Below are 8,074 nucleotides of genomic sequence, written 5' to 3'. Positions count from 1 at the left end.
GGCTGAAGCAGGAGAATCGCCTGAACTCGGGAGGTGGAGGTTACGGTGAACCGAGATCGTGCCACTGCACTCCAGCCTGAACGACGAGCAAGACTCCGTCAAAAAAAAAAAAAAAACTCACAAAAAAGAAAGAAACTCAAGTCTATATAACTCTAGCAAGGGCCAGTAACCTGCAATCAATGAACTCAATGAACTCGGAAGAAAAAATAGACCTCTTAATTTTACTAACATCAAACTGCAATGTAGCAATTCTTTCCATTATGAGTGTAGGCAGCAAACTGCCGTCGTGTCAACAGAACCTGTAACTTTGTCACCAACAGGAATCACAGATATTTTCATGTCCTGTTACATTTGTTGCAAAGATGTTGGAATATCATTTACACTCATCACTGCTTTAAACTGCAATCGTAATAATGTTGCCAACCCACCATCAGATCGCCTTATTTGGTGTGTTAATAAAGAGGCATGGGTATTGCTATATCACAGTTTGGCTTTGTAATATTTTTGTAATAATTTTGTAATATTTATATCAGCTGTATTTCCATATAATCAGTTGTCTTCACAAGCCTTTGGATTTCATATTTAGAAACATTGCTCAGAGGCTGGGAGCAGTGGCTCACACCTGTAATCCCAGTGCTCTGGGAGGCCAAGGCAGGCAGATCACTTGAGGCCAGGAGTTCAAGACCAGCCTGGCCAACATGGTGAAACCCTATCTCTACTGAAAAACACAAAAATTAGCTGGGCGTGGTGGTGCATGCCTATAGTCCCAGCTACTTGGGAGACTGAGGCAGGAGAAGCACTTGAACCTGGGAGGCGGAGGTCAGTGAGCTGAGATGAAGCCACTGCACTCCAGCCTAGGTGACAGAGGGACACAGGGACACTCCGTCTCTAAAAAAAAAAAAAAAAAAAAAAGGCCGGGCGAGGTGGCTCACGCCTGTAATCCCAGCACTTTGGGAGGCCAAGGCGGGTGGATCACCTGAGGTCAGCTGTCTGAGACCAGCCTGGCCAGCATGGTGAAACCCCATCACTACTAAAAATACAAAAATTAGCCGGGCGTGGTGGCAGGCACCTGTAATCCCAGCTACTCAGGAGACTAAGGCAGGATAATCACTCGAACCCAGGATGTAGAGGTTGCAGTGAGCCAAGATCATGCCACTGCACTCCAGCCTCAGTGACAGAGCGAGACTCTGTCTCAAACAAAAAATGAAAGAAAAGAAAAGAAAGAAAAGAGAAGAAAAAGAAACATTGCTCTGAGAAGGGTAATAGGCTTCCCCAGATACCAACAGGGCCCACAGTGCAGAAACTATTCAGGACTGGGCTCTAACGCCCATGCTCAGACCACAGGCTGCAAGTAACGTGTGGCTCAGACAGAAGAGAAACATGAAAATGACCGCAGGTGAGTTTCCAGCTCTCCTCCCTCCAAGGGCAGGGATGCTGAGGCTCAGTGTGGGGATGTGACCTGGGAGGACACATAGCAAGGTAGAACCTGGGTCTGAACTGGACTCCGAATTGTCCCATTAGCAGCCTGGCACCTTTTCAGCTGCACCAAGCTGCCACCTAAGGACACAAAGCATTCCAAGCTCAGACGTTTGTGGGCTGTAGCCCATGGTGATGAGCCACTTGGAGGCAGTTTGTGCAGTGGAGAACGCTCTGGTTCACTGACCTGCAGTGACTGGTAGTCACTTGTTCACACAAAACAGTCATTATTCGCTCACACACTGCCAGCAGGATGTAGATCAGTTCAGTCACCTTGAAAGGCAATTGGGCAGAGCCTGGTAAAACACGGGGTTGGGTTCTTCTTTTGGCCCAGTCATTGCAACACCAACATCCCCAATGTACACCCCAGAACAGCAGGTCTCAACCCTGAATGCACATTTAGAAGCACCCTGGAGCTTCTAAAACTGCCGATGCCTACCCTGAACCATTCAATTAAGAATTTGGGGAAAGGCAGAGAGTTGGTGTGATTGTTAAAAAAAAAACGTTCAGGTGATTCTGTCTGCAGCCAAGTTGAGAACTACTGGCCTCAGGAAACACTTCACGGTAGTACACAGAGGCCTACGCGGTGCACGCACTGAAGTGCTATTTTCAATAGCAAGGCAGTAGACACAACACAAATGCCCATCAACACAGAAATAGCTTGAGAAAACAAAAGGCAATTAATAACATAGTGAGATGCTATGCAGAAGGCAGGAGGAATTAACTAGCTCTCTATGTATCAGCGAGGATTGGTCTCAGAAACACAGTGTTGAGTGAAAAAAATTCAAGTTGCAAACTATACACATAGCGTGCTATATCTTGAGGTTTTCAGAACAAAACTAAAGATGCATACAAATGGATGCAGAAGTATTTGAAGGTCCTTAAGGATACACGATGTTCATAAAAACAAGGGCTGGCCGAGCGTGATGGCTCACGCCTGTAATCCCAGCACTTTGGGAGGCCAAGGCAGAAGGATCACTTGAGGCCAGGAGTTCAAAACCAGCCTGACCATCATGGTGAAACCCTGTCTCTACTAAAAATACAAAAAATTTAGCCAGTCATGGTGGCACATGCCTGTAATCCCAGCTACTCAGGAGGCTGAGGCAGGAGAATCGCTTGAACCCAGGAGGCGGAGGTTGCAGTAAGTTGGTATCATGCCACTGCACTTCAGCCTGGGAGACAGAGCAAGACTCTGTCTCAAAAAAATAAAATAAAATAAAATAAAAAAGCGACAAGGTGCAGGAACTTGGTGTGATCACTAAAAGGACTTGAGTTTTCCTTTTTTTTTTTTTTTTTTTTTTTTGAGATAGGATCTCACTCTATTGCCCAGGTTGGAGTGCAGTGGTGCAATCATGGCTCACTGCAGCCTCGAACTCCTGGGCTCCAGCCATCCTCCCACCTCAGCCTCCCAAGTAGCTGGGACTAGAGGCATGCCCCACTAAACCTGGCCCAGTTTTGCATTTTTTTAAAAAGGCAAAATACGTATATTTTTTACAGAAGGAATTAAAATTGATTCTAAACATTAGTATTTTTAAAAATATCCCAGCGCTTTCTATGTATTATTGTACTAGGCTCAGGAGAAATGAACTGGAATGGAAGACTTCAAGAGAGATACAGTCCAGAGGAGGATAAAGACAATGCTACCAGAATACAGCATTTTAGCTGGTGATGAGAAAGAGCTGCGGAAGATCTAAGAAGCAGCTCCTAGGCCAGGTGCGGTGGCTCATGCCTGTAATCCCAGCACTTTGGGAGGCCGAGGTGGGCAGATCACTTGAGCCCAGGAGTTTGAGACCAGACTGTGCAACGTGGCAAAACCTCCATCTCTGCAAAAAATACAAAAAATTAGCTGGGCACAGTGGCATGCACTCACTGCACACAGTGGTATCCAGCTCCTCAGGAGGCTAGGGTGGGAGGATCACTTGAGCCCAGGAGGTTGAGGCTGCAGTGAGCCACGATCACACTACTGCACTCCAGCCTGGGTGACAGAATGAGACCCTGTCTCAAAAAGAAAGAGAGAGAGAGGGGAAAGAAGGAGGAGGAGGAGGAAGGGAGGCAGGGGAGGGGAGGGAGGGAGGGAGAGAGAGAGAGGGAGAGGAGAGAGAAAGAAAGAGGATGGATGGAAGGAAGGAAGGAAGAAAGGGAGGGAGGGAGGGGAAGAAAGCATCCCATGCACAGGAAATAATAAGGTCAAAATCCTAGAGTGCAAAATGAGGGCAGCAGCCCCATGGCATTCTTAGGTCACTGGTCCTTCCTTTTGCCTGGAGAAAATGGTGAACAGTGAGGCTGAGAAGTGGGCAGGGGCCAGATGGTTGTGGGATCTCTTGAGCCATGTTAAGGATTTTGGTCTTCATCCTCAAGGGAATGGGACCGCTGCAGTGTGTTATGCAGGGAACTGTCACCATTACATGTATGCTCCCGGGTAGAGGCAAAGGGAAGGGAATAAGAGACAGAGCAGAAGCTAAGCAGCGTCTGTGGTCACCAGGTGAAAGCAGGGGGTGGCAGTGGGAGTGGAGAGAAGTGGACAGAGCTGACAGATGCTTTAGAGGCAAAACTGACACACTTGGTGACAGGTTCAAAGTGAGGAGTAAGTAACGAGTCCAAGAAGATACCCCTCAACTAGGCACTTCTGGCCCCCAGGGGTCCAGCCAGACCTCTGGTGGTCCAAGCCCAGGTCTGCATCCCTCTAGATTGTCTCCGGTCCAGAACAAAACTCTGGCTAAACAATGAACCTTCCACATGCCTGTAATCCCAGCATGTTGGGAGGCCAAGGTGGGAGGATCGCTTGAGCTCAGGAGTGTGAGACTAGCCTGGGCAACATAGTGAGACCCCCGTCTCTACAAAAAATAAAAAAATTAGCCAGGCATGGTGGCACATGCCTGTAGTCCCACCTACCTGGGAGAATGAGATGGAAGGATAGCTTGAGCCTGAGAGGTCAAGGCTAGAGTGAGCCGTGAGCACGCCACTGCACTCCAAGTCTGGGTGACAGCGTGAGACCCTGTCTCAACAAAAAAAGAATGAGCTTTTCAGTCGGGTGCAGTGGCTCACACCTGCATTCCCCACTACTTGGGAGACTGAAGTGGAAGGATCACTTAAGCCCAGGAGTTTGAGACCAGCCTGGGCAACATAGCGCAGAAAAACATCATCTCTTAAAAAAAAAAAAAAAAAAATTTAAAGGGATGGAGCCTTTCGGTAAGGAGGGTCATCTGAGTTCCAGCACATCTCAAAACAAAAATCAAAATGATACCCTTGGCTCACCACATCCAAGTCTCTTGTGCCCCAACAGTCATTATCCTGTTATGGCGCCCAGTGACAATTAGTGAGAAATTGTATGGACAGCTCCCGATTAGATGTAACACCCCTGACACGCAGCATCGTGAATCAATTACTCTGAGTAACTCAAGTCTAACACTCTGACACTCCGCCCCCCAGGAAAGTGCCTCCTTCTTTCCACACACACTTCTTTCTTCCCAATGAATAAATTGAGAGCTGTTTGTTTACAGAGACAAGGTTATTTTCATTCGTGACTGAAGAAGCAGCTCTGCTCACCCTGTTAGCTGTGAGTCACAGTTGATTCCCTCAAGGATGGGACTGAGTTGGGATGAAGGGCCCCAACCTCCCCAGGTACTGGTCCCAGTCATTGCCCAAGGAGTGGACTGTCTTACCCTGGGTCCTGGGGACCCACGAAGCCAGAGCTCCTCAGAACAGGGCTCCCAACATAGCTCCAGGGAGTGAACCCCCATCCTTCATTCAAGAGCAAATCCTGACCGCCTGCTCCATACCAGGCTCGGTTCTGGAAACCCCCATCCACATGGAGGAGGGAGATACACAAGAAACAGAGATATGTAGCATGAAGATGATGAGAAGTTCTGTGGGGGAAAAAAAAAAAAAGCAAAGACATGAAGAGGCATTCCTGGGAGGAGATGGGATAGAGGGAGCATTGCAAATGTAAATGGCATCATCAAGGATGTCTGGCTGAGAAGGTCACATTGGAGAAAAGTCTCAGCGGGGCACCGTGGCGCATGCCTGTAATCACAGCACTTTGGGAGGCTGAGGCAGGCAGATCACTTGAGGCCAGGAATTTGAAACTAGCCTGGCCAACATGGCAAAACCCCATCTCTACTAAAAATACAAATATTAGCCGGGCATGGTGGCATGCGCCTGTAACCCCCGCTACTCAGGAGGCTGAGGCAGAAGGATCACTTGAACCCAAGAGATGGAGGTTGCAGTGAGGCAAGATCACACCACTGAACTCCAGCCTGGGCAACAGAGTGAGACTCCATCTCCAAAAAAAAAAAAAAAAGAGAGAGAGAGAGAGAGAGAAGCCTGAAGGCAGTAAGGGAGCAAGTCGTGGGGATGTCTGGGAAGGGCACGGAAGAGAGCAAAGGCAAGTGTCCTGGGGCAGGAGTGGCCAGCGTTTTGGAGCCGCAGCCAGGGGACCAGTGAGGCTGGGGAAGAATGAGCAAGGCAGGAACAACAGGAGATGAGGTCAGAGAGGCCACAGGGCGGGGTAGCAGGGGAGGGAGGGCAGAGGGCCTGGGGCCTTTTAGGACATTGAGAAAACTTTGGCTTTGACGCTGAAAGAATTTAAAAGATCAGCCTGGCAAGGTGGCTCCTGCCTGTAATCCCAGCATTTTGGGAGGCCGAGGTAGGAGGATTGCTTGAGGCCAGGAGTTCAAGACCAGCCTAAGTGAGACTCCATCTCTACACTTTTTTTTTTTTTTTTAACTTAGCCTGGTATAGTGGCTTGTGCCTGTAGTCCCAGCTGCTCAAGAGGCTGAGGCAGGAGGACTGCTTGAGCCTGGGAGGTCGAGGCTGCAGTGAGCTACGATCACACCACTGTACTCCAGCCTGTGTGATAGAGCAAGACCCTGTCTCAAAAAAAGAAAAGAAATCACTCCAGCTGCTATTGCTGCTGATGATAATTATGATGCAGTTGTGATGGGCTTTGCTGCTGTCACGCTGGAGTTTTGGTCTGCTTTTCTTTTTTTATGCCAGTCCAACATCTCATCTCTTCCTCTTTTACCCTGGTGGCTCCTCTGGGAGTTCCCCATTATAAACACCACAATGAGGGGATGGTGGCCTCCTCCTCCACTAGGAAACCCTCAGTGGGCTGGGTGCAGTGGCTCACGCCTGTAATCTCAACACTTTGAGAGGCCGAGACGGGTGGATCACTTAAGGTCAGGAGTTCAAGACCAGCCTGGTCATCATGGTGAAACCCCGTCTCTACTAAAAATACAACAATTAGGCAAGCATGGTAGCACGCACCTGTAATCATAGCTACTGGGGAGGCTGAGGCAGGAGAATCACTTGAATCCGGGAGGCGGAGGTTGCAGTGAGCTGAGATCACACCACTGCACTCCAGCCTGCGTGACAGAGCGAGACTCTGTCTCAGAAAAAAGAAAATGGAAACCCTAAGTGGCCAGGCCTCCCTCCCTGCACCCCAGCCTGAAGGTCATGTGGCTTGGTTGAACCAATGAGCTGCTCTCCTCAGACTCTGCATCATGAGCGGTGATCCCAGCAAGGGGCCGCAGGAGGGCCTATCCACATGGTAGCCATGGGGGTTTTAGGACCGGATTGCTCCTGCCGGGGCCTTTTCTGTGGCTGCCGCTGCTCAGATCTTCACAGCCTCCTTGGCCCCCACTCATTTCCCCAGCCTGGATCCCCAGCTTCCTGGTGGGTTTGTGGACCCCTAGAGTTTTCCAATAATTTCTGTTTTTGCTCAAGGCAACTAAGTTTTCTTTTTCTGAGATGGAGTTTTGCTGTGTCACCCAGGCTGGAGTACAATGGTGCAATCTCAGCTTACCCAAACTCTGCCTCCCAGGTTCAAGCGATTCTCCTGCCTCAGCCTCCTGAGTAGCTGAGATTACAGGCACATGCCACCACACCCGGTTAATTTTTGTAGTTTTAGTAGAGACAGGGTTTCACCGTGTTGGCCGGGCTGGTCTCAAACTCCTGACCTCAGGTGATCCACCCACCTCGGCCTCCCAAAGTGCTGGGATTACAGGCGTGAGCCACCATGTCTGGCCTGCAGCCAGGTTTTCTGTTACTTGCAACCAAGAGCCACTCTTGATGCAATAATGAAGACAGCCAGGCAGGTGCTAATGACAGCTCCCAAATCCAGCTGTCTGGCCCAGGCTGCTCTGCTGGACTCCAGGCATGGACATCTACCTGCTGACCCCACATCTCCTCCAAAGCTTACATTTCTCACACTCAACGTGTCCGCCATACTCCTGATACTCCCTTCTCAATCAGTGGCAACCTCATTCTTTAAGGTGCTGAAGCCAAAAACCACAGGTCACCCATTATTTCTCTTCTTCTCTCTCTCACCCCATCTGCACTCCTTTCAAAATACATCCAGAATCTAATAACCTCGTCACACCTCTTACTACCACTTTAGTCCAAGCCACCACCACACTTACCTGGATGACTATATGGTAGCCACCAAATTCACCTTCCTGCTTCTGACTCCCCAACCCTACCCCTACCTTCATACTATTCTCAACACCACAGCCAGAGAGAGCCTGTAGAAAGCTACATCCAGTGAAGCCACTTGGGATGGTCAATTTGATGTGTCAGTTTGACTGGGCCACGGGCTGCC

At 49.3% G+C, this 8,074-nt stretch overlaps 2 annotated features.

Moving 5' to 3' along the window:
* Positions 5,440 to 5,940: an enhancer, noted in NCBI's record as "H3K4me1 hESC enhancer chr16:16694409-16694909 (GRCh37/hg19 assembly coordinates)". NCBI's record gives its function as "activates a minimal SCP1, AML or CMV promoter by ChIP-STARR-seq in primed H9 embryonic stem cells {active_cell/tissue: H9 hESC(primed)}" and the evidence as "EXISTENCE:reporter gene assay evidence [ECO:0000049][PMID:30033119]".
* Positions 5,941 to 6,441: an enhancer, noted in NCBI's record as "H3K4me1 hESC enhancer chr16:16693908-16694408 (GRCh37/hg19 assembly coordinates)". NCBI's record gives its function as "activates a minimal SCP1, AML or CMV promoter by ChIP-STARR-seq in primed H9 embryonic stem cells {active_cell/tissue: H9 hESC(primed)}" and the evidence as "EXISTENCE:reporter gene assay evidence [ECO:0000049][PMID:30033119]".

This window comes from Homo sapiens, chromosome 16 (genome assembly GCF_000001405.40).
Source record: "Homo sapiens chromosome 16, GRCh38.p14 Primary Assembly".
NCBI classification, from domain to species: domain Eukaryota; kingdom Metazoa; phylum Chordata; class Mammalia; order Primates; family Hominidae; genus Homo; species Homo sapiens.
This window is presented reverse-complemented; position numbering and strand designations above follow the sequence as displayed.